The sequence below is a fragment of the Homo sapiens genome, chromosome 19 (assembly GCF_000001405.40).
Source record: "Homo sapiens chromosome 19, GRCh38.p14 Primary Assembly".
Classification (NCBI taxonomy): domain Eukaryota; kingdom Metazoa; phylum Chordata; class Mammalia; order Primates; family Hominidae; genus Homo; species Homo sapiens.
The window spans coordinates 33,790,772-33,815,807 of NC_000019.10; the positions used below are offsets into that span (position 1 = coordinate 33,790,772).

Genomic DNA, 25,036 nt, shown 5'->3' on the forward strand with positions numbered 1-25,036 from the left:
GCAGAGTTTACGTTCTCCCTTGTAATGTATACATGTTTGTCTTGCTGACTTGTTTGTCAATTCTGGAGTCAAGGGGGCACTCAAATGGACTCCACTGGGCACTTGTCTGTAAACCCAGCACTTTGGGAGGAGAAGGCAGGAGGATTGCTTGAGGTCAGGTGTTTGAAACCAGCTTGGGCAACATAGCAAGACCCCATCTCTCTACTAAAGATTTTTTTTTTTAAGATGGAGATTTGCTCTTGTTGCCCAGGCTGAAGTGCAATGGCACAATCTTGGCTCACTGCAGCCTCTGTCTCCCAGGTTCAAGCAATTCTCCTGCCTCAGCCTCCCGAGTAGCTGGGATTACAGGCACATGCCACCATGCCCAGCTAACTTTTTGTATTTTTAGTAGAGACGGGGTTTCACCACGTTGGCCAGGCTGGTCTCAAACTTTTGGTCTCAGGTGATCCGCCTGCCTTGGCCTCCCAATATGCTGGGATTATAGGCATGAGACATTGTGCCTGGTCTACTAAAGATTTTTAAATTGGCCCCTGATGTAGTGGTGCACGCTTATTGTCCCAGCTACTTAGGTGGCTGAAGTGGGAGGATTGCTTCAGCCCAGGAGTTTGAGGCTGCAGGGAGCTATCATCATGCTGCTGCACTCCAACCTGGGCAATGGAGTCAGCCTCATCCTCTTAAACAAACAAAAAAAGTGAAAGGGGACTCTGCTGTACGCGCCTTCCTGTGCTCCTGTGCATCTCTTGTGGGTGGGCTCTGGGCAACGGTACCTGAGGGGTGGAGCTGAAACCATGGCTTGACGGGAGGCATGTTGGAAGAGGAAATCAGCCATCAGCTCTAAACAACAGCTGCTACTTACAGAGCACTCACACTGGCTGGGCCGAGTTCTTTGCTTTGCTGTGTTCTCCCATTTAATTCTTCCAGCAACCCCACCCGTTAGGTCCTATCTCTGTTCCCACACTACACAGGAGGACACTGAGACTGGAGAGGTAAAGCCCAAGGTCAACCAGCTGCACTCAGATTCTCAAGTTGATGCTCTGCACAGACTGTCTACTACAGGGCAGGCCCAAGGAGAAGGGATTGCCTGTCACATGGAAGGGGCTCCATGTACTGGGCTTGGGTCCAAGGAAGGAGAGCCCTGGGTTTCTGATGGAACAAAGGCCACTCTCATTGTCTAAACTTTTTTCATGGGAAAAACTCCCTTGGACCCTTGCAAATGTATCTGCAGAGCCTCAGGTGGTCACTTGGAGCCAGAGTGGCAGCCACACACAGTCACTTGGGGCAGGATTCTATGGAAAGCCATTCTCCCACGGATCCCGTCTGGGCTTATATTGATTGAGAAAAGTGGAGGACTCCCCCGACCCCCCTGGAGAGGGCCTCCCTGGCATCCCTTGACTGCAACAGCCTAATCTGTTCCAACAATCTTCTCAGCGCTGTTGCACAAGAAGGGCTACGGGTCCCTGGGAGTGCTCTTGAACTTTCCCCAGTGTCAGGCCAGCTCAGGGTTCCGTGCTTAAAACATTCAGCGGCCCAGCCCTCAACACAGAATCCATCCTCTCCTCCCCAACCCCCACCCCCCCGCCCCACTCCCACCCCCAGGGAAAGTCTGACTTTGCCCAGTACCCACTTCCCTCCCAGGGGTTCAGGGCAGCAGTCCCATTGGCTTGTAACTTGGCATGTGACCCAGTTTTTGCCAATAGGACGTGACAAGGAGGGCTGTGGGAGCCACTAGGATAATTCCATTGTTTTCTATAGGTGTCCAGGCAGGTGTGAAGCTTTGAGCTCTGTTCATTTTGAGACCAGAGAAGTGCTGGCATGAGAACAGGCCAACGTGCTGAGGATGGTAGAGGAAAGCTGGGGAGAGCTGGTCCTTGAATAGTATTCCAATCCACTGATTCACCTCCAGGCGCATTCTGTGAATCAGGTGTTCTATCATGAAGCTATTCTGTTGCAGCCTTTGCTACTTGCACCCAAATCCATATAGCATTTGAGAATTTGATGGAAAAGGCTCAAATGCAGTTTTGAGCAATTTAGGGGGCTGCTGGCTCCCCCACAGGCTGCAAAAATGTTAAAATTCCTGGTCAGGAGGTCTTAGTCTTGTCTCGTTCTCACCCCAGTGCTGGCTCCCAGGGCCGGCAGGGTTGGTTTGGTTCAGAATGGCACACCCAGGCTGTTGGCAGAAGGTAGAAAGGCAACCCCTGCCTTCCTGCCCACTAGGAGTCCTGAGTGCCCACTGAGCGTGGTGCCAGGGACTGGGCAAGGGCAATTTGGGTGAGGGGACAGGTGAGGGGACTAACAGTCCCATGTTTCGTCACTCCCTTTAGTCTCCAGATTCTCTGGGGTCCTAACTAGGAGGGAAGATTGGGGGGATTCCCAGGGTAGAGGCGGAGGCCAGGTGGGTGTGACCGTGAGCTCTGGTCCAGGCTGGCTTATTCCTAGCCTGTACAGGAGCCATCTCTGGAGCCTGAGGTGAGCACAGATCTAAGAAGGACTGACCAGCACCCCAGGAAGCCTGGGGGTGGGGGAAGAGACAACCCGGTGCTAAAACCCCAGTCCTCCCTCCCGGAGACAGCAGCAGGCAGGTCTCTCAGTCTGTTCATCTGCTTGTCTGATTATAGCCTTGCTGAGAAGGTTGGGTTCAGCAGAGTCTGTGATCTCATTTTGGGTTCATTTTCCCTTCCTTATTAAGATCCTAATTTTTAAACATAGCCTGCAAACAGCAATAGCAACAAAGAACAACATCACATTGGAAGCCACCTTGAAACATCTGGAAACCTGAGGTCTTGCCATGGGTTTTACATCCTGCAAATGCCCCGCTGTGTGAGAGCACAGGTTTGAATCTGCTTTTTAAACTATGAACTGTAATGACTTAAGTGCCAGTCAACTCTTAATGATAGAGCAAGTTCTGATTGGACTCACGTCCGATGTCATCTCTTGAACCACAGTAATGAAACAGGATGTACTCCACGAGATGTTTCAATATGTTCTCAGTCCAAATTCTACATCTTTCAATTAAAAAATGCATCACCATTGCATTATATACCACAGATCATTAAATACCTATCACTGTCCATATCCAAGTCTCCCAGTGGAAGAGATGGCTGACATTTAGCTAGGAACTTTTAAAACACTTGAGAATAAATTATGACCCAAACTTACTGTTCTTAATGACACGTATAAAGTTCAGCTCTTAAATAAAAGGATTCAGGAATACAGAAACAAAGTCCCCAGCCGTACTAAGGAAATAAAAGTCGTCCAGTTCTTGTTTCCACTAAATTGTACATTTTTATTATAATTGGTATAAAGTGAAACTCTTAAAAAAACACGTAGGAATTTAAAATAAAGTAGAATATCCTATTTTCAGGGTCACCAGTACCATGGTGAGATTTGTCTCTTAAACAATGACACTTAGTAGCTCTGTAGTTCCATGAATACTTTTGAAGTGTCATATTAAAACCAATCTCATGGCCTTGAGGCAAAGAGAAGCAATTAGTCTTGGAGTTGTGAATAAATAAAAATCCATTTATACACCCGTCCTTGACATGTACCTTGCAAATCTTAGAAACTTCATCTAGTGGGAAAATAAATGTTAAATCATGAATACCCATACTAATCACATTGCCATGTGGCTTCCTAAAACAGTTTCGCTTATACCAATCTTTCAAGTATTAATTTATATGTATATATTCACCCAGATTGAACACGAAACAAAGGCGTTACCGCAGCCACCTAGGATGAGGGACAAAAGAGGTGTGAGGGGCGCTGGGGGCCACAGGAGCCATGACAAGCGGATTTTCAGTGAGTCCCTCATCCTCCAACACAAGCCTGCTCCACCTTCCCTCATTCCACCCTCCACAAAGGCCTGGGGCGGGGGAGGACGTTTCTGTCCATGAAGTTGGGGGCACCCACACACACAACCTCGTCCGATTGTGATTCTAGCCAGCATTTAAGGGTGGATACAGGAGATCAAAGTATTTGAATACTTGCTTCACTTTCTATTTGTGTCTGGTCCCTCAATGCTGAGTGGGATGTGCATTGATGGAGGGCTTTGCTGTTCCTATGTCGTGCTTGGGACAGTCGGCCACAAAGCTGGGCTGACCTCTCGGGCCGGGCCGGGCCTGGCCAGCGTGCCGAACGCGCAGAGAGCGCGCTGCTGAGCCGAAGCTGGGAGCTGGAAGCCCGGAGGTACCGGGGCGTAGGGAGCAGAGTGGGCAGCCCTTGGGCCTCGCGGGAGCCCCTCCCAACCCCTGCACAGATCCCTGACCTACTTCCAGGGCTTCTTTCTGTTCCAGGAGCAGCTCAAAATCCATAAATTAAGGAAATTAACTGATGGGGCCTGCGGCATCTTTGTAAGCTATTTAAATCTATAAATTTACAACATCTTCTGCATATATCAAATAATTGAACTAACTGCAGGGATGTAACTTTAATGAGAAAATTTCCCCCTTTTTCCTGTAGTTCGAACTCGAAAATAAATAAATAAATAAAACCTTCCCTTAGGAGGAAAGTTTCGGCTGATTCCCGCGTAAAGAAGTTACGGAAGCGCTGTCTGGACGCTCTCTCCACGCGCGCGAGGTCCTCTAGTAGAGGGAGAAAGCCCCCCCCACTTCACCTTCCTCCCACTGGCACCCCGAGTCCCCCTCACCCCAGCTCCAGGCCGACCCCGAGCGCCCCCCACCCCGGGAGTGCGGCCGCTAGGGGGCGTCCAGGCCCGGCCGGAGCCGGCGGTCGGGACCCAGGCGCCGTTCCGGCCCGTGCGCACCCGCCCCGCGGTCCCAGCCGGTCTCCGGCCCGGGCGTCCCTGGAGCCAGGCGGGGGCGCAGTGCCGGCCAGTCGCGCGCTCCGTTTCCTAGGAGCCGGGAAATGGTCGCCGAGGAGGAGGAGGAGGCACGGGCGGGGCGCAAAGGAAACAGGAGGAAGAGGAAGGGGAGGAGGAGTGGGAGTGGGAGAAAAGGAGGAAGGGGCGGCCGAAGCGGAGACTGGGGAGGGGCGTCCGGGGCGCGGACCTCGGCCGCGGGGAGTCTTGGCTGCCGCCGTCTCCATCGCGCCGCGCGCGTAAAGGAAATGGCGCGTCTAGCCGCGAGCGGTCGGCCCGGTGCCCCAGCGCGTCCCTCCCCCGCGGCGGCCGACCGCGTGTCCGCAGACGTCACGGGAGAGGGGCAGCGGGGCAGAGACCCTGGGAGGGCGGCCAGGGAGCGGGGGAGGGGCGGCCTGGCCCCCGGCTCCGCTCCAGCCCCGACCGACTGGCAGCCCAGTTTCTTCCCAAGTCCCGCCCCCAGCCCCGGGCGCCGCGGCGGCGGCTGCTCTCCTCTTTGTAACCGAGGAGTCAAGAAATGTGAGAAACGTGCCCTGTGTTACTTATTTGGGAGCCGAAAATTTATGCCCAGCTGAAAGCGCCCGGGGAAATATTACATCAGATGAAATGACAATGATTAAAATCAGCCTCTCCCCCGCCCCCTCCCCGAGCCCGGAGGAGGCCCGGGCGCCGCGTGGCCGGCCGGCGGGGGGCGGGGGGCTGGGCCGCGGAGGGCGCTGGGGCCTGGGCGCACCGCTCCCGGGAGGGTCCTGGCCGCGGCCCCGGCGGGAAGGCGCGGGCTTCGGGAGAGGCGGGTGGGGATCGCCCGGCGAAAGGAGGGGAAACGGCGCGTTTTTGTCGCCAGGCGCGGGCGCGCGGAGCTAATTGCGACTCTAATCCTCTGCCCCGCGGCGCAGCCGAGCCCCGAGCCAGGAGTCGCCGCGCGCGCCCGTTCGCGCTGGGTAATTTGGGGCCGGATCGCTGCCCTTTACGTCCGGGCTGGGCCGCGGCGAGGCGCTGGCTAGGGGCTGGAGTGGGGGGCTGGTTTTCTCTCCAGCAATCGAGGGAGGCCGCCGGAGAGAGAGGAGGGAGGAGAGGAGGTGGGAGCGGCGGGAGGGCAGCCGGAGAGCGGCGCGAGGAGGAGGCGGCGGCGGCGGAGGCGGCGGCCGCGAAGAGGGGAGGAGGCGAGGGGAGGGTGGGGAGGGGAGGCCCCGGCGCGCCGCGCCGCGAGGGGCCGCGTGAAGCGGGGGCCGGGGCGGGAGGGGTGGGTGGGGGGAGGGTTGGGGGCGAGAGAGAAAGTAACTCCAGGACGAGACCGGAGCGACCCGCGCAGCGAGCATAGGCGGCGAAGCTGCGCCCGGCGCCCGAGACCGGCAGCTGCGTGGGGCGGGGGCTGCGCCCGAGCCCGATCTGCCGGCTCCGAGGTAAGCTCAGCGCGGGCGGCCACCGCTCAGAGCCGCGCAACCCTGCCCCGAAGTGGCTGCGATACCGAGAAAGTCGCCCGGCCAGGGTCTGGACCTGGGCGGGGGCGGCCGCTTTGTCCCTCTGCTGGGCGGCGGGGGCTGGCGGCGCGGGGGTGCCCAGCACAAAGGCCTGGTGCAAGAGTGGGGTTGCCCACGTGGGCTGGTCCTGGCCGCGGGTGGACCCTCCCCACGCGGGCGGTCTCGGAGCTTCCTGCCGCGCGGTGTGTGTGTGTGTGTGTGTGTGTGTGTGTGTGTGTGCGCGCGCGCGCGCGCGCGCTTGTGGAGGTCCCCGCACTCTGGCCCCTGTTCTGGGCCGAGCGCCCTGCAGAGCTGGCGAGTTTCCGGGGTCAGAAACGGGCTCACGCAACTGGGGCTTCGGGATGCACAAGTCCCGGCTTGGCGCCCAAAATCAGAGAAAGTCTCCAGTGGGACAGATGTGCGTCCTCTGACGCCCACCCCACGAGTCCGAAACCTGGCAGGAGGGGCTGTCGCGCTGGTGGTGGTCCCGGGCGCGCAGGGTTTGGGGCTGGGAGAGGGGCCGCGATGGGAGGGATCGCCGCCTGCAGATCCGGTTCCCCGCTGCCCGCCCGCACCCCCTGACCTGGACGCGCGCACCCGGCACACACTCGCAAACACACCCGGGGGCGGACCCCCGCCTCTGCAGCGCCTTTCTGTCTTCCGGCGGCCCCCACCCGCGACTGCAGAAAGATAAGCTTCAAGTTTTCGCTCCGTATCTCAAATGTGCATGAAGGAATTTAACTGCACGAGTGAATAACAGCATTAGTTTCAATTAATTTTTTTTTAATCCCGGCAACAATAAACTTTGAGAACAAAAGCGCTTTTACGTCCTTAATTAGGCGAGCTTCCCATCTGTGGTCTCCAAGTGTCTGCCTCTTGATTTAACTTTGTCCCCGCCCCGCCTCCGCGGCAACCCCTCCCAGCCCAGCCCCGCGCTTCGGGTGCCGCGGCCACCCCGCCCCGCGGCGCCTCCAGCCTTGGCCCAAGCCCTCTCCCGTCGCCCCTAAGTTCACACCGGCCGGCTGGCTCCGCGGCGGAGGCGGGAGGGGGGGGGTGGGGAGGCTGGCGCGCACCAGGTGGCCCGCCTGCCTCTCCGGGGCCACCCCTGGGACAATTGTGCAGGCCCCCAGGACTTTCGCCCCGGGCCAGCGCCCTGAGTGCGGAGCCGAGGGGAGCTCGAGAGGCGCCTTCTGTTTACCTTTTATGGTTAAAATAACAGCTTAGCAAAGAAGCGACTTCAGAAGAAGCGATTTAGTGAAATCGTCTCAAGCTGCCGCAGCTCAGCCAGTTTAATCACCCCCAGAGAGCCGAACAACTGCGAGCGCAATGGGACACAAAATCATTTTGTGTGTAAATGAGCGTGGCATTCTGCTCACTTCTCTCTGCTCGGGCGGGCGGGGCTCGGCGGCGGGCGGGCAGGGACCCGGGTCTCCCGCCGCAGCTGGAGAAGCGGGTCACTACCGGGCCAGTTTGGAAACCTGTGGGCCCTCCCGACCGCTATCGCTGAGGCCCCTGCAACAGGCGGGCCAGGGCGCACTGGGGCTGGGTGCTGGGTTTGATGCTGGTGCTGGTGGAATGAACTTGTATCTCTCACTGCACCCACTTTTGTGCTTCTGACTTAAGCAGTGGTCTCGGAAAGAGGGTCGTGGTCCCGCACGGATGCGCTTGTTGGGAGAAACCTTGGAGATTCACGGCAAGGCGTAAAGCCTGGGGCTTCCAACGGTAAGTTTCTGGCTTGCCATGAACATCAGGTTGTTCTTGGGAGGGAAAAGGGGCTAAGAACAGAGTGGAGCGGCTTCTGTGATGGAGGCTTGGTGTTCACGTCACTTTGGAATAGTGTCCTGGTATTGGGGAAAACATCTTGCAGTCCGCTTTGATAGAATTTCAGCCAGAATTCCTTCCTGTTCAGTTTATCCTCAGCGCGTCTTCCCTTCTGACTCCTCCCCCAGCAGAGCCTCCTAGGGCAGGATAATCCATTCCTGAGGTCTGTTTTGGTTCTCAGAACTCCTTGAGCTAAGTGACCTGGTTTTGTTTTTTTAAGCTTGTAGAACTCAGGAATGCCAAAAGCAGTGGATTCTGAGTCCACAGGCCCCAGTGAGGGTATATATTAAACATCACTGTCTGCCCATTGCAACCTCCCACCCCAGTTTTATGTCAGGAAACTTGCCCGGGCACTCAGGGAGAGCAACCTTGCTTACATTTGCAGGATTTGATTCTGGTTGGATTAAAATTGGATATTGAATTTCAAGGCACAAATTTTGATCCCAGAGTTTTAATGGGAAAAAGCAATCCCATGGGTCCCAAGAATTTCAAGTGGTTTCTCTCTTAAAGGTTAAACCTTCGAGAGACGTCCAGGGTAGGTTTGTGGAAGCCAGTGTCTGTGGATGTGTGAAGGGGGGTGACTATTCACGTGCAAATCTCCTCTTTCCTCCCTTTTGAGACAGCTGTAAATCAGTGAACGGGGCTGCAGAATTCTGCCCCTCCTGCATAGGGCCTGCAAAGCGCCCCTGGGTGTGGCTTCCAGGGACTGAGGGACAATCTTATTTCAGGTGACTACGGCACAGAGGAGAGTTACTGAGTGCCTCTGGGGAGGAGCAGTAGAAAGGGTCCATTGGCTGATCTGCTTGCTCTGTGCTTCCTCCTGGCCACCTGGCCATCTCCTGATGCCTCGGGGGTATGTGATCCTGAGGGGTCTGGAATGCATTAGGCATAGACAACACCACTCTGGGAGTCTGGGGAGAAACTGTGAGGTACAGACTAGGCAAACAAAGACAGGTTTTCTCTGCTATTGGGAGCCACAGAGAAGAGGCGGCTTCCCAAGTGACTTGCCCTCATCCATGTGCCTGGACTTCTGCTGAACGGCTTCCCTGTGTCTGGCCAGATGCAAGCTGTATCTTATCACCATGGGGATGGTATTAAGAGAGGTCCTAGGTTCCCTGGCCCATGGAGGGTGAGGGGTGCTTTCTGAGCCTTGGTCCACAAGGCTGTTGCAAGAGGAGACACGCTTGGTAACATGGCTTGAAAGGAAAATACCAGGAAAATCTGGTTTGTTCTGAAATATTTTGGGGCAATAATGGTGAGCATATGTTTCAGTGCTGTCATTAGCCGAATTAGCAGACATGGAGCTGCCCAGAAAACACATGTGTGAGTGTGACTGTGTGTGTGTGCATGTATGTGTGTGTCATCTGCTACAGCCTGGAGGCCTGCTTTGGGGTGTGGAGACAGATAGAGAGATAGTGGCGGTGGAGTCAATCAGGGAGGGCTGCATGGACCTCGCAGGGTCTCAGAGAGCATGCAGAAAGGACAATTCTAAGTGTCTTTGACCCCATGGTACATGACTAGGAGGAATAAGCCTTCTCTGGTTTTGTCGATGCCTCCCGCAGATACTCTGGGCAGGGATGGAAGCCTAGATGCCTCACCGCAAGGAGCGGCCGAGCGGGTCCTCGCTTCACACACACGGCAGCACCGGCACCGCGGTGAGCCTGCAGGGTGGGCTGGGTCCCTGCCGGGAGTTCCCTCTTTCCCTTCTTCCCCAGTGCCTGTTTACTGGCTGTCCTTCCTTGGGACCATGACACTCCAGGTGGCTGTTGACTGGCTGTAGGATTATGTATTTTTGAAACAAAAATGCTCTTAATTTGATGTGAAATTTACTACATGTATAAAACTCAACGCCTTAGGTGCTGAGGAAGTCACTAATTTAGAGGTGTCTCGTTACTGAGACAAACTTGCAAAAAACCCCTGAATCCCAATTCACAAATTGGTGATTCGTTTGTCAGGGGATATTTCACATCTAACACATAAGCCCACGACCTTTAATTAGAATTTTGCAGTTTGTTTTATGCCCCTGGAGGCTGACACCTTGAAAAATTTTTTTTCTTGATTTCTTATTGCTAATAAGCATCTTTCTTTTTCCCTCTGGTACTTTGAAGAAAATGATGCAAATACACTTAATTACAGTGGTGGCCATAATTTGTCAGCTGAATATATGATCAGGCACGGGCAGAAGTGATCTGATTAGATCTGTGATCACACTCTCAATAAAGGGAGTGCATGGCTGTGTTGTGGAGAAACTCTTGTGTTCCGCTTTGAAACTCTTGTGTTCCGCTTTGTTTCCATCTCTAGGAGGGAGGAAACATGTCCCGGCTGTCTCTCACCCGGTCGCCTGTGTCTCCCCTGGCTGCCCAGGGCATCCCCCTGCCAGCCCAGCTCACCAAGTCCAATGCACCTGTGCACATCGATGTGGGCGGCCACATGTACACCAGCAGCCTGGCCACGCTCACCAAGTACCCTGACTCCAGGTAAGAGTAAGCCCCTTGAAACATCAGGCATGTGTGGGTCAGGGCAGCATCTGTAATCTGCTGCCTAGGGGGTGGGGTCTCTCCCCACTGTCACTCCACCCACCAGGGTCTCCAGGGTGCACAAGCTGACACAGCCTGAGGGAGCTAGGGTTGGGGAGTCCAAGTCTGCCTGTTGAAAGCTGCTATGCACAGAGGCTTGTGACCCTGACTTGGCGGCATTGGTAGTGCAAGGTGGAGCTCCTGACCCACCTGCAGGGGACTAGGGCTTATTCAGAGCCAGCCCAGCCTGAGCCTGCCGGCAGCGGGCAGGGGAGTCTCACGTACCTTCAAGGTTCCTCTGGAGGGAGACTTAGGCCCGGCCCCTGCAGGGGGTCATTTGTGAGTGATACTGAGTAGGTAAGTCTTGGGGGCATGGGGGTGGGTATTTAATCCTATTTTCTATTCCACCCCTGGGAAATTCACAAGGGGAGGGAAGAGGAGCTGTGGTGAGCTGCAGTGTGCCATCTTTGTCATTTTCCGTGGCCACTGCTGGGCCCTAGAGGCTAGCAGCAGGCTTCCCTTGGAGCTGGTGCTGCAGTGACTAGCTAGGAATGAATCACATACCTCATCAGTGGATAAAGGGTCTCTGGCCAGGACCCTGGTTGGGGGCTCACAGGCACCCTCCATGCTGCTGAACTTATAGGCTGCCCAGGCCCTTGGGCCTGCGAGAGGTTTGGGGTGCTGGGTGCTGCCAGCTCTCCTGCTCTTCCTTGCAGGGTGTTTCTCTCCTGGGTGAGGGACCTGCTTTCCCCGTTGGCACGGCAGCAGGGCTGACCCGAGTAGGGTGGGTCTTGAGCAGCTTGCTCAGCCGAGGATGTTTGCTCCTGGCACAGAGAGGCGGTCATCGCTCCCCTGGGGCTGCTGAAGGCTGAGCGTGGGAGGGCCAAGGCTGTGGGCATCACCCCTGTGTTATGCATTTGAAATAACAGGAGGAGTTAATTAATCCCCCAGATACTGAGGGATCATCTCTGGGGAGCATACACGGCAGGCTGCATTGTCACCGGTGTGGTTCCTCAGAGCAGGGAGGATGGTAGTGCGCAGAGGTGGCTTTCCAAGCCTGTTGGGGCTGCAGGGGAGCCTGTGCAGGTGCAGGCATGGTCCCTTGAGGAGGAAAAACTGGAAATGGGTGCAGTGTCTAGTTCCAAATTTGGAGAGTCTAGGGTACAGATGGTGACTGGTGTTCCAGTACCCCAGGTGGACAGAGACTCAGCCTGGGGCCCTGTGGCCTTGGGGCTTGTGGGGTGGGGACAAGAGCCACGGGGCCAGGTCAGCAGTGTTGGCCTGTGTGCTCACTCACAGAGCCCTGTCTAGGATGGGAGATAGATTCTGCTTATTTAATTTCCATTTTGCCTTCTGCGGCATTTCTGAGTTGTTTGAGATAGATCATCCCTTAATCGGTTGACGACGTTTGTGAGTGAAATTCATAAAACCTTTGCCCACAACCCTCTCTGAAGAGTTTCCTGAAATCAGAGAGTTGCCTGTCTGGAGTAATCACAGCCCAGGCCCTGGGGGAGGCGGGTGGGAGAGGCTTCTCATTCTGGGCTCTTGGCTGCTGCCTGAGAGCAGGAGGGCAGGGGGCCATCTCCCCCCACCCAGCCCCACTGTGCTGCTCACCCATTGCTTTGTTCTGCTGTGGGATGTGCTCTCATGGGGAGCTAGGGCCCCTGTGGCCCTGTGATCTGGCACTTGGGACCCTCCTGGTGTGCCCAAGGGGTGGCAGTCTATGTTTATTCTTCCCCAGGGCTGGGGCTCAAGGTGAATCTGTTGTTCTGCCTGGATGGCCTCTGGCTGCTGTGGGGGTGCTCTGTAGGCCTGAAGCTTTGGACTAGAGGCCAGGGATGGCTGACCTGCAGGACAATCAGGGGACAGGAGGCCAGGGGGCCTGAGAAGTGGGTCAGGCAGCTGTGCTGGCAAGAGCCCCTCAGATCTCTCTTGTCCTTCCTGTAGTGGATTATTATAATATAAGCAGTTTTCTACCAATTCTGGAAAAAATCAATCTCACCTAGTGTCACTGATCTAGGAGACACCTGGAGATGGAGGACTAAGAGTGCTGTGGTCCTCAGGGGGTTTCTGGATGGTGAAGATGACCTGCCCTAGGCAGCATTGTAAAAGCTGGGACCTCTACCCTCGGCTCCCCTGAGAACTCTGCCTGAGCCTCTGGGTCTCGGCGGTTGGGGTGGCCTGGGTGCTGGAGAGTCTCGTGCTGGGTGACTCCTCTGGTCTGCCTAGGAGCAGTCACTGGTCCTCACCCGAGACAGCCAAGCACAGCCGGGGCTGGGAGTGGATTCCCTGGGCCGGCCCCCTTGCTGGTGTCCTGCCTGCTTGACCCCCGTTAGCTGCCGCCATCACAGCCACACTCTGACATCCATCCTGACTATGGGAAGCATCAAATGAAGATGGCCAGGAGCTTCAGAACTCTTAAAACCTGGTGCCTGAAACAGCCAGGAAATTGGAGCCAGAGCTTAAAAAAAAAAAGGAAATAAACGAGAAGACGAAGGCCATCCTGATGCTCCCCCTTGTGCACACAGGGCAGGTGGTTGGAGGCATCTTTTCTGCCCCTGAGGGTCCCACCTGCTGCAGCGTGAACTGGCCACCTCATTCCATGGAGGACTTCGGAAGCCGGCCCCTCAAACCCTGCATCCTCTCTCAGAGGGTGGCCTGGGCCATTTTCCACAGGGAACGTGGAGCCCCTGACAGAGCTGGGAACTCATACCTGCAGGGCTGAGAATGGCTGAGGGCTCCTCCATGGTGATTATCCTCACCTTTCCTCAACCTGCTCACGTCCTTGGCAGCCTCAGACGCTGAGGGCATGAAAGGCCTCTGTCCTGGGAGAGGCGGTACAGCTGCCGCTTGATCCAGGAGCCTATACTGAACCATGGAAAGATCTAGAATCAGCCTGTCCTGAAATAAGGCAGATGGAAAACCTTCTAAACTTGGACCGATGAGACAACCTAGAACCCATCCAGCCCTGGAATGTGGGTGCATCAGGAGTCTTCTAGACCAACAGGACCAGCTAGAGCCTCAGCCAGACCTGACGTCAGAAGGGTTGGGAACTCAGCCAGGCCTAGAATGCTGCCTGCTTACATGGACTTTGGAGCTCCACTGGGAAGGGTGGGGAGAGTTCCCAGGAGGCTGAGGGTTTGGATCTGCTGACTCACCTTGGATGTAGCTCTTACTTCCCACCGGTGCCACACATGGACCTCAGCCACCTGCCAACCACTGCCCATGGTATCTGGCAGCCTGGGACAGACCCATCTGTCTCCAGGAATGCTGGGTGGCCCTCACTCTGACATCTGGATGCCCACGCTCTACTAGGCCAGGTCCTAGGGCCTTTGTAACTGGAGCCAGCCGTGGAACCCACAGCCTTTCCAGCAGGGGCTGTGACCTGCAGTGCCATTGTCACCAGGCCTAGGGGGTTGACAGGGCTCATCGGCCTTTGGAGCTCTGAGATGAGTTGTATCTGGGTGGCTGCAGCTCTGGGTCCACAGACTCGGGCTCACAGCAGACTCTGACCTCCCCATGCCCATCCACGAGACAGCCTTGCCCTTTTCTTTCTTTCTTTTAAGCGACAGCGTTTGTCTTTCTTGGCCAGGCTGGAGTACGTGGTGTGATCTCGGCTCATTGCAACCTCAAACGCATGGACTCAAGTGATCCTCCCACCTCAGCCTCCCAAGTGGACTACAAGTGCATGCCACCATACCCAGCTAATTTTTAAATTTTTTGTAGAGATGGGGTCTTGCTGCGTTGCCTAGGCTGGTCTCGAACCCCTGGCCTCAAGCAGTCCTCCACCTTAGCTTCCCAAAGTGCTGGGATTACAGGTGTGAGCCACGGTGCCCAGCTAAACCGTGCCCTTTATACTACCCTGCTAGGAGAGAAACCTGCACCGTGTTCCCAGAGACTCCATACCCGGGCAGACCATCATGGCTGATGCATTGAGTGTGCTGGGCCATCAGAGCATAGGATGGTGTGGACGGGAGGCCCTGAGGGCAGACTTGGGGGCTCTGACTCCCTCAGCTCCTGCCCAGCTAGTGTGTCCTGGGTGCAAGTGGCAGTGGGGCAGGGCCCTGGAGACGGCTGACTTGGAGTGGACAGAGGAGTGGGCTGCTGTTAGAACAGGGGGCATCCCTGCAGGGGTCCCTGCTGGTGCAGGCAGAGAGTGAGGGGCTTAGGCTCCAGATTGTGTGCAGGCCGGGCTGGGAAGCCTAGGTCCCAAGTTGGAGCTACTGTTCTCCCAGCTGTGCAGAGAAGCTGCCACCTTGGCAGGGTCCAGCTGGGCAGGAGTGTGGCCCTGCCTGCTGAAGGATGTGGTGGTGCTGCCCTTGGGGAAATGATGCCAACTTCCCTCCTGTTCCCAAACCAAGCCCTTGGCTACTCCCACCCCTCTTTAGGGTTCCTAGTTATCCCTAGCTCGACCTGGGGTCTGCCAGGGCAGTTGCCAAACCAGAGCTGGCCACCCTGGGCACTGGGGAGGTGGTATCAGCCCTGGCTCTGAGGCCTGGCTCCTTCTCCCCGGAGTGGACAGGGACAGGCATCAGGGGCTCCCCAAGACCCTTCTCCTGGTCTTGCATTTGTTAGAACCATTGCCCTTCAGAGGACAGGGTACCGGCACCTGCCTTCTCTCCAGTCCCCATCCGCCACCACTAGGTGTGGTGTGCATACGCTCTGGCATGTGTGCACATATGTATGCACTGTGGTGCATGTGTGTGCATGGTTTCTGTGTGCGTGTGTGTATGCCTGTGTTGTGGCATGTGTGCAAGGGCCCTGTTGCATGTGTGTGCTGTGGCACACTTGCCATCCCTCCTGTCTGCCTCTGTTTCTCCCTGTGGGCTCCCTGAGTGAGCGGCAGTAGGGGATTTGTGCCGTCATGTCTCTGGGTGCCTGGTGTTGACAGGTGTGTGTCCTTTCCTGGATGTGTCTGGATCTGCATGATATGTGTGTGTTGGGAAGGAAGGGACCATGTGACCCTGTGCCTGTTGCACAGGCCTGTGTGTCTCACACTCGTTTACATGGGTTGGGTGGGGAGGATGTATGTCCTGGCTCGTTTACTGGGTGTGTGGCTGTTGGCCGGGGTGTTGGATGGTTCATGTGCATTTTCTGGGTGGGTCTATCTGGCAAGGGTGTGTGCACCAGGCCTGTGACCAGCTGGTTTGTGTGTAGGGGGTAAGGTGCCTGTGTCTTGCTATACCTTTCCAGGCCTGTAACATAACGTGTGTTGGCAGGCTGGTGTGTACAGCTGGGTGTGTCCCTCTCTGGCTGTGACTTGCGGGTGTAGGCAGGATGTGTGGTGTGTCCTGTTAACTGTAGCCTGGCTGCCCCAGGTGTGTGCAGATGTTGTCAGGCCTGGAACAGTTCCAGAGTCACCCATGTCAGGTCCCTCGCCCCTCCAGCCGTGTGGGCCCTCAGGAGTGGGGGCGGGGTGTGGGAAGACAGGCAGACTTGTCCCCATCCCTTCAGACATCCCACCTCGCCTGTCTCTCCCAGGATAAGCCGCCTCTTCAATGGCACTGAACCCATCGTCCTGGACAGTTTGAAGCAACATTATTTCATTGACCGGGATGGGGAGATTTTCCGCTACGTCCTGAGCTTCCTGCGGACGTCCAAGCTGCTGCTTCCGGATGACTTTAAGGTAAGTCCATGGCTGGTGGCCCCCCTGCACTGCCTGTGTGATGGCATTACACAGGGGACGCTGTGACTTAATAAGTGGACCCCTGGTTGTCATGGTAACCATAAAAAGTTAAACGATGAAGCCGAGGGCTAAATCAGTTTTTCTAAACTAATTTTGTTTTCTCACATTTTTAGCTTATTTATCAGGGTATATAACAACAATCAAGCTGCAGAACGTATCCCAGCTGAACATTTGTCGTGTTTAAGGATGGGCGCGTGCCAGCGTTATAGTAGTTAGAGGTTCATAAATCTGTTCCATCGGCTGGGTGCAGTGGTTCATGCCTGTAATCCCAGCACTTTGGGAGGCCAAGGTGGGTGGATCACTTGAGGTCAGGAGTTCAAGACCAACTTGGCCAACTTGATGAAACCCCATCTCTACTGAAAATGCAAAAATTAGGCCTGGAGCGGTGGCTCACGCCTGTAATCCCAGCACTTTGGGAGGCCGAGGCGGGTGGATCACCAGGTCAGGAGTTTGAGACCAGCCTGGCCAAGATGGTGAAACACCGTCTCTGCTAAAAATAGAAAAATTAGCCAGGCGTGGTGGCAGGCCTGTAATCCCAGCTACTCGGGAGGCTGAGACAGGAGAACCACTTGAACCCAGGAGGCAGAGGTTACAGTGGGCCGAGATTGCGCCACTGCACTCTAGCCTGGGCGACAGAGCAAGACTCCGTCTCAAAAAAGAGAAAGAAAAGGACGGCTGTAATTAGACTTCAAAAAATAAAGTATAAAAAGAAAAATGCAAAAATTAGCCGGGCATGGTGACAGGTGCCTGTAATACCAGCCACTTGGGAAGCTGAGGCAGGAGAATCTCTTGAACCCAGGAGGTGGAGGCGGAGGTTGCAGTGAGCCGAGATCACGTCACTGCACTCCAGCCTGGATGACGGAGCAAGACTCTGTCTCAAAAAAAAAAAAAAATCTGTTCTGTGTTGGGCAATTTGCAGGGAGAAAAGCCCTGATGACCAAACAGATACCCTTTAAACAAAAGGTTAACCCCCAGGTCTCCGGGTGAGCCCGTCAGGGCAGGTGACCTGGTTCCCTGGGTCATGCCTCAGTGCTGAGCCCCTCCCACATGTCAGGGACTCTGGGAGGAAGGAAACTCAGGCCTGGGGTACACTGGCATGTATTAATACTAGCAAATGTCTGTCCTTCCTTCCTTCATTCCTTCCTCTATCCAGAGGACCAGTAGCCCTGGGGCCTTGTCTTTCATCCAGCTCAGTTACTGAGTGCCAGCCTCTGAATTCAGGCTGAAAACAGTGAAACACACACACTAGGACCTGCCCCACAACACTTAACAGTCTAGCGGGCAGACAGATACTGAACTTGAAGTCCATGTGACCTGGGCTGGGCGGGTTTGAAAGAAATGATGTTCATCTGGGTGGTGAAGGCAGAACGGGGCCAAACAGGTGTGAGGGCCTTGGTGCAGGGGATGGGGGTGGCAGATGGCTTGATGCATTCCAGAACTGGAAAGAAGGTGTCAAGCCTGGAGCTTTATGGACTGGGAGGGGAAGGTCAGGAAAGGAGGCTGCTGTTTGATGTCAGGACCTTGGTGGGTGGCCCAGTGCCTGGCATTTAACTCTGAATGCAGTGGAAGGGGTGTGTGCAGGGGAAGGGCAGTCAGATCTGCAAATTGGGAAGATCTCTCTGGCTGTTGGGTGGGGAAGAAGGCAGAGAGGGGTGGGGGTGGGTGCAGTGAGGCAATTATGGATGAGGCCCCTTCCCCAGGCCAAGGGAGGCTGGGTGGAGGCTTTGGATGGACCAGGATGGAGATAGAGAAGATGGAGCAAGGTGGCACATCAGACTTCTGTTTAGTACAGGCACAGTGGCTCACTTGGTCATCCCAGCACTTTGGGAGGCCGAATGGGGAGGATCCTTTGAGGCCTGGAGTTCAAGACCAGCCTGGACAACATAGCAAGATGCTGTCTATACAAATTTGTTTTTTAATTAAAAAAGGCCGGGTGCGGTGGCTCACACCTGTAATTCTAGCGCTTTGGGAGGCCGATTTAGGTGGATCACCTGAGGTCAGGAGTTCGAGACCAGCCTGACCAATATGGTGAAACCCCATCTCTCTTAAAAATACAAAAATGAGCCGGGCGTGGTGGTGTGCACCTGTAGTCCCAGCTACTCGGGAGACTGAGACAGGAGAATTGCTTGAACCCAGGAGGTGGATGTTGCAGTGAGCTGAGGTCACACCACTGCACTCCAGCCTGGGCAACAGAGCAAGGTTTCATAAGTAAATAAATAAACTTTACTTTTAAAGTTTTTTAAGAGTAATTTATTTACTTTTCATAAGTAAATAAATAAACAAGCAAGCAAGCTGCAAAAGCACGTGGCTGTGGTAGTGTAAAGGGCCTCTTGCAGGTGCCCCGGGACTTGTGGCTTGAATTCTGAGTTGGTAAGTTGAGGCCCGGGGTGGACCAGGCTGTGGGAGTGGGGTTTCTGCCCCTGCATGGGAGAGCTGGTGGGGCATCAGATGGAGAAATCCTGGGCCATGACAAAAGATGGGGTTGTCTGTCATGCAGTTGTCATTTAAAATCTCAGGAGAATGGCCAGGAGAGGTGGCTCACACCTGTAATCCCAGTGCTTTGGGAGGCCAAGCAGGAGGATCATTTGATCCCAGGAATTCCAGACCAGCCTGGACCTTGTGTCTACAAATAATTATTATTGTTATTATTATTATTATCCTGGCATGATGGCTCATGCCTGTAGTCTCAGCTGCTCGGGAGGCTGAGTCAGGAGGATCCCTTGAGCCTGGGAGTTCAAGGCTGCAGTGAGCTATGATCACATCACTGCACTCCAGTCTGGGCTACAGAATGAGACCCTGTCTAAAGAAAATAAAATAAAAATCTCAGGAGCAAGTGAGAGTGGAGAGAGCAGAGGCCCAGGATAGAGCCCTGAGGAGCCCTTGCATGGGGCAGGAGAGGCAGGATGGGCCACTGACCCATGACAGGCCCAGAGGTCAGGGTTAGAATCTAGGCCTCCCTCCAGGCGGCCAGCAGGTGGAAGGGACTTAGGGCCTGTAGGTCAGGGGGCTGGGCTTCCTTGCCTCTTCCTCAGGCATGAGTCATGGGGACCTATGGGACCTTGGCCATTCCCAGTGGGGTGGGTGTGTGTGAGCGTGTATAGTGTGCATATGTGGCCCAGGGCATGGGGCCAGTATCAGCGCCTGAGGGACAGTCTGTGCGAGGCTGCTTAGCCCAGAAGGGGGCTGCGTGGCAGGGGGCGGGCTTCCCCTCCCTGGACACTTTATCACACTCTGCCTGTTTGGGCAGGGGCTGGACCAGGCACTTGGCACATCTTGCATCCTTTGATCCTCACTTTCATTCTCTGAGCTGGTTGTTTATGTCCATTTTATACATAAGGGAACTGAGGCCGGGCGCAGTGGCTCACGCCTTGGGAGGCCGAGGCAGGTGGATCACATGAGGGCAGGAGTTCAAGACCAGCCTGGCCAACATGGGAAAACCCCATCTCTACTAAAAACATAAAAGTTAGCCGGGTGTGGTGGCAGGCACCTGTAGTCCCAGCTACTCGGGAGGCTGAGGCACGAGAATTGTGGAGTTTGCTGTGAGCCAAAATCGAGCCACTGCACTCCAGCCTGGGTGACAGAGAGAGTCTGTCTCAAAAAACAAAAACAAAAAAAAAAAACAAAAAAAAACGAAAAAAAAACCAAGAGGCTCAGTTAGTGAGGTATAGAGGTTTAGAGGTCTCAGGGCAGGTTGATGATGAAGCTGAAAATCTGACCCAGGCAGGCTTGGCTGGAGAAGAACTTTTTTTGCTTCCGGGTAGGCTGTGAGCTCCTAGGCCCGGCTGCCCTGTGCCCAGCATGATCTCTTCTCTCGGTGGGATTCTAAGGCAGCAGCAGGTCCCCAGGCATAGGCACAGCCTCGTCCTTTAGTGGAGCTTCCAGGTCTTTCCATGGGGAGGCTTCACTGCCCAGTGCCTGGGGCCAGATGGAAGGGCTCAGGGGGGCTGGCACAGGTGCACATCAGCGGCTGCCCTTGGGACAAGGCTAGGTTCTTTATACTTGCAAACCACTCAGTTGCCCCATCTGTACAATGGGTGCAACCGGCCCAGTCCACACAATACCCTGCGAGTCGCAGTTCCTGCAGAATTGGTTGGAACCGGCAGGCCGCCTCCCCTCTCCCCCTTCCCCCACCACCCCTACTCCGACACCCACATCAACACCCTGTGCGCCTGTCCCCAGGACTTCAGTCTGCTGTACGAGGAGGCGCGCTACTATCAGCTCCAGCCCATGGTGCGCGAGCTGGAGCGCTGGCAGCAGGAGCAGGAGCAGCGGCGCCGCAGCCGGGCCTGTGACTGCCTGGTGGTGCGCGTCACGCCCGACTTGGGCGAGCGGATCGCACTCAGCGGCGAGAAGGCCCTCATCGAGGAGGTCTTCCCCGAGACCGGAGACGTCATGTGCAACTCCGTCAACGCCGGCTGGAACCAGGACCCCACGCACGTCATCCGCTTCCCGCTCAATGGCTACTGCCGGCTCAACTCGGTACAGGTGAGGGCTGCACGCTGCCCCCTCCCCGCCGCACCCCCGGCGTCCGCGGAGCCCTCCAGGGGCAGAGTGAGCTGGAGGGAGGCGCGATCCCTGAAACGGTGAAGCCCCCCGTGCCATCCTACAAAAAAGGCAACAATGTGTCGATGCATAATTTATGTCCCTCTCATAATTAAATGATGGCGCCTGGGGGATGGACTTAAAAAAATCGATCTGTACTTTTTTTTTTTTTTTCCAAAAGGATGTTCTATAAAAATGGCCCAGAGTATTTTCAACAAAGCGTGCTTCATTTGACACCCAGAGTCTGACTTTGGATTCGAACTAAACCCAGGCAACAGGCGAGGCAGGACAGAGGCTGAGTGGAAAGGTGGTCTGGAGCCCCTTCCCTCTCCCTGCTGACCTGGGAGTCGCAGGCACCCACCAGCTGCCAAGAGAATCCCTGGACCGGCTCTTCCTGGATGGGTCCAAGAATTGGACAGCTCAGATGGAGTGAGGGCCTATTTTCCAACAGCTCTTCGCAGACCCAAGAGCTTGGCACATTTCCGGGTTAGGGTGGAATGGGCTTTGCAGGGAAGAGGGCCCCCTGTGCACGCATTCCACAGCCTGTCGGTCAGAACTTGCTAGTTGCAGGAGACGGGTGTTACACGCAGTCATCAGACCTCACCCTCACAGAGGCACAAACCCACATAGTTGTGGACGCCTGCAGAGACTCAAATATTGAGAGGACTTCTCCTTTTTCTCTCCCTCCAGAGCTCCCACGAGCTGATGCACCCCCAGGCTTCAAACCACCTGGAATGCACAGCTCAGGGAAGCTGGTGGATGCCTAGAGGCTGAAGGACAGGGAACTCTCCATTATTGGGGCAGGACTCAGGGAGGACACTTGGGGCCATGTGTCTGGAGAGAGGGCATAGGTTACACCCTACAGAATAAAGAAGGGACCCAAAGCCTCTTTTTGCCTCCCGGAATCAAGGCCCTGAGGGCAGCAGGATGGTGGCCTGGGTGGGGTCGTCCAACTAGGTTTGCTAACCTGAGGGGTCACTGGGCCTGGCCACTTCTGTCCCTCTGGTGGTGGAACCCAGCACGTGGTTCTGTAGGGACCTTTGTCAGTGAGCAAGACTGAGATCGTCACAGGAGAAGGTGCCCTTGCTGGCTGCCCCAGCAGGCACCCACCTCCCTGCCAGGCCAAGCCAGGTGTCCTCTTGCAGCTTGGCCTTGATGACCTCTGTTTCTTCCTGGGCAGGTCCTGGAGCGGCTGTTCCAGAGGGGTTTCAGCGTGGCTGCGTCCTGTGGGGGCGGTGTGGACTCCTCCCAGTTCAGCGAGTATGTGCTTTGCCGGGAGGAGCGGCGGCCGCAGCCCACCCCCACTGCTGTTCGAATCAAGCAGGAACCCCTGGACTAGGCCCTGCTTCAGTGCCCACCTGGGCCCCCCCAGGGACCTGGAAACAGTGCTGGGGAGTTCTGCCTGTGTATACTTGGCCGTGGGCATGAGACCGAGGGTGAGGCTGGAGGGTCCAAAGCTGGCCCAGCGAGCACCAGGGTCCCAGGTGTCATGGCAACAGAACGTGGGATGCTGGAGGCATGCCTGCAGAAGGACTGTTGATGCGACCCAAAGATACAGCGGTGGGATCTCTGCTGCCAGCTCTCCCAGCCCCTCAGCTTCGCAGCCTGGCGCAGCATCCTCTGAGGCCCCGGGGCCTGTTGGGGCGGGGTTGGAAGAGCCGTCTGCAGCTACTTCAGAGGAGCTGTTTATCCCTCTCCACGCGGGGCAGACTCTGGCGGGTCTCCTAGCGTCCGAGAGATGGCTTATTTTCTACAGTATTTAAAATGGATGCAGCCCTAACTGCAAAAGTCAGAGAGGCTGACAAGGACCAATGCTTCTTTATCTGGTGCTCAGTTCTCAGTCAGACGTGCAGCATGGCTGCAGGGTGGACCAGCTGCCTGGCATTCAGGCCCAGATGCCTGCAGGGCTGGGGCTCTCGGGACAGATGCAGGGATGTGTGCTGCAGGGCTGCTGGGAGGAGAGTGGTGGGGGCCTGAGGGCTGAGTGATTCTGTAACCACCTGAGACCTTCACGTTTGCTGCCGTTGGGGGCTCAGGCTGCACTCCCCGGGTCACCTGACCTGCTGCCCAGGGGCTTCCAGTCCTGTCTGTGTGGACTGGCACCTGGGCTGCTGGAGAAGTCTCCTCCCGTTCGGACCAGCCTCAGGGCTGCACGTTACCTCAGGAATGGGCCCCACCATGAAGGGGCCCATCTGTCAGCAGCGTCTTCTAGGTCCCCAGCTCAGGGAGCCATCCCCAGCTCCAGTTTTCTCATGCGAATATGCACAGTTTTAATTCACGTTGTTACACTAGCCTGCCGATGAGACCCAGACACAGGCAGACCTGGCGCTCTTGACCCCTGATTCCAGTGAGGACTGGCCCTGAGGAGTCCTTGCAGACCTGCTGCCTCCCCCACGACAGGCCCAAAGATGGACCCCCCCTGGCCTTGTGACAGCTCCCCAAGTGTTCTCCGGTGGAGAAACTGCAGAGGACTGGTGGGCGGGGCTCCCCAGCCATCACCATCCTGTGTACAATGGCTGTAGACTTGTATATGGCTCCTTTAATATTGTAAAGATGCTGATGTACAATTGTCGTGCATTTGTGTGAACACATTGCGTTCCCAGTCCATGCCATAAATGATGCTCTCAAGCAAAAGACTGGAGGCTCTGTCCTGTGCAGAAGCAGCAGCCAGACTCCCGCATTCGATGTTGTGCAGGGAGGTTTGGGGGCGGAACGGATTCCTCCCTTGGATCCTTCAGTTCCCATCGAGGAATAACCCGCAGCAGTGGTGGAGGAAGGTCAGTGGCTGGGTCCTGAGCTTGGTGTTATTTATTGCATTTGGGTGCCTGTCCCCTCAGGGCAGCACAGATTCTGAATTCTGATTCACAGTCCCTAGCCAGATGGGAACTGGGAAAGAGACAGAAGGCGTCTGGGTGCTTTTGAACCCTGTCTCAAATGTTTGGGATTTTCTCTCTCACTATTCTTTGGTTGGGGATGATGTCCTCTTTAGACCCCCACGTAATGGTATGAGAAGGTGGCAGGCAGTGGCTCAGCCAGCCAGGGGGCACCAAGTCATGCAGCCAGCGTGAGACCTGCAGTTCACCTAAGCACAGAACGAGATCTCAGTATGCCTCCATGTAAACAGATTCACATAGGCCTCCAATTTCAATGAGACCTTTTGCATTTTTTCTCAAAGCCCTTATGTTCTAACCCATGAGAACCATTTTACCTGCCCTCTAAGGGCCACCAGCTTCGACCTGCCTCAGGGGACAGCAGCACAGACCAGTGGCTCCCTGTCCAAGGCCGCAGAGCAGACGCCATCCCACTGTACAATCGAATTTGCTGGACAAACTTGATAGGTTTCTCTGCTTAGCAACGAGCCTATAGTTAGTTGGCACATCTGCGTTTTGGCATCTGAGGCTCCCATCTGAGTGGAGGAGAAAGTGTTGTGTTTATTAGCAGGAAGTCTTGTGAAAACAGCTCGCTGCTGTGTATGTTTATGGATTTTTCTGATATAACAGCCAGCATGGTTACCGAGTGGTAGAGATTCTCGAACATTCTCAAACTCTCTTTTTGGGTAAATGATTGTGCTAAAAATAAAATTTATTAATAAAGAAGGGGAAAAAGGAGTAACTCTACCTGACTAAATGTTACTCTAATTTATTTATTTCTTTACTAATTAAGTAAAACCAGGAAGTATGATTTTACATCAACCAGAGAATTTCTGAATTTATAGGGAAACACTATGTCCCCATAATGATGCTATAATTCTAATATATCTAGTCCCCATAAACAGTAAGTACAAATTATCATTCCTTTAAAGCATTTTTACACTTCCTGGAATGAGTATATTATCAGCAATCTTTTGTCAAATGCCAGCCGTATAAATGTTACTTCTGCTCTTTGTAAACCTCAAAACTCATTATTCTTGATTATAAGCAACTGGACAGAACCATGCCAAAGCTTCCCCGTTTCCCACCAAACCCCTGCCAGTGAGTGCAGAGAACTCGCAAAGCCACAGCAGGCGGTCTCAGCCACCGTCCCGCTCACAGGGGCCCAATGCCAGGTCACAACACTAAGAATATCTTTCAAAAAATGTGTCTTTTTTTTTTTTTTTTTTAAAGCTACTGCTTGACTGTTCCTTAGAATAAATAAAGGATATTTTATAAATTACAGCTCTAGCCCTTGGTTTGTAATTCACGGAAGCAGCCACAATCAG

The 25,036-nt window shown here is 55.1% G+C and overlaps 1 protein-coding gene across 19 annotated transcripts, besides 3 other annotated features; it reads left to right on the top strand.

The window, feature by feature from the left end:
- Positions 1-3,268: 3,268 nt before the first annotated feature.
- KCTD15 (potassium channel tetramerization domain containing 15) lies at positions 3,269-24,990 on the top strand. Of its 19 annotated transcripts, XM_047439395.1 has the most exons (9): positions 5,232-5,332; positions 5,658-5,754; positions 7,493-7,619; positions 7,897-7,995; positions 9,657-9,749; positions 10,396-10,571; positions 16,092-16,236; positions 20,476-20,781; positions 22,019-24,990. In XM_047439395.1, the coding sequence occupies exons 5-9, from the start codon at positions 9,684-9,686 to the stop codon at positions 22,175-22,177; spliced, it is 852 nt and encodes a 283-aa protein (XP_047295351.1). In that variant the 5' UTR covers positions 5,232-5,332; positions 5,658-5,754; positions 7,493-7,619; positions 7,897-7,995; positions 9,657-9,683; the 3' UTR covers positions 22,178-24,990. The 19 variants fall into 19 exon arrangements, with proteins under 19 accessions (XP_016882773.1, XP_047295352.1, XP_047295351.1 ...); XM_047439399.1 differs by lacking the exon at positions 5,232-5,332 and having other exon boundaries at positions 5,461-5,754; XM_047439401.1 differs by lacking the exons at positions 5,232-5,332; positions 22,019-24,990 and adding an exon at positions 21,020-21,267 and having other exon boundaries at positions 5,461-5,754.
- Positions 3,523-4,032: an enhancer, noted in NCBI's record as "H3K4me1 hESC enhancer chr19:34285199-34285708 (GRCh37/hg19 assembly coordinates)". NCBI's record gives its function as "activates a minimal SCP1, AML or CMV promoter by ChIP-STARR-seq in primed H9 embryonic stem cells {active_cell/tissue: H9 hESC(primed)}" and the evidence as "EXISTENCE:reporter gene assay evidence [ECO:0000049][PMID:30033119]".
- Positions 4,678-4,797: a silencer, noted in NCBI's record as "silent region_10500". NCBI's record gives its function as "represses an Ori minimal core promoter by ATAC-STARR-seq in GM12878 lymphoblastoid cells {active_cell/tissue: GM12878}" and the evidence as "EXISTENCE:reporter gene assay evidence [ECO:0000049][PMID:35858748]".
- Positions 9,212-9,980: an enhancer, noted in NCBI's record as "H3K4me1 hESC enhancer chr19:34290888-34291656 (GRCh37/hg19 assembly coordinates)". NCBI's record gives its function as "activates a minimal SCP1, AML or CMV promoter by ChIP-STARR-seq in primed H9 embryonic stem cells {active_cell/tissue: H9 hESC(primed)}" and the evidence as "EXISTENCE:reporter gene assay evidence [ECO:0000049][PMID:30033119]".
- Positions 24,991-25,036: the final 46 nt, after the last annotated feature.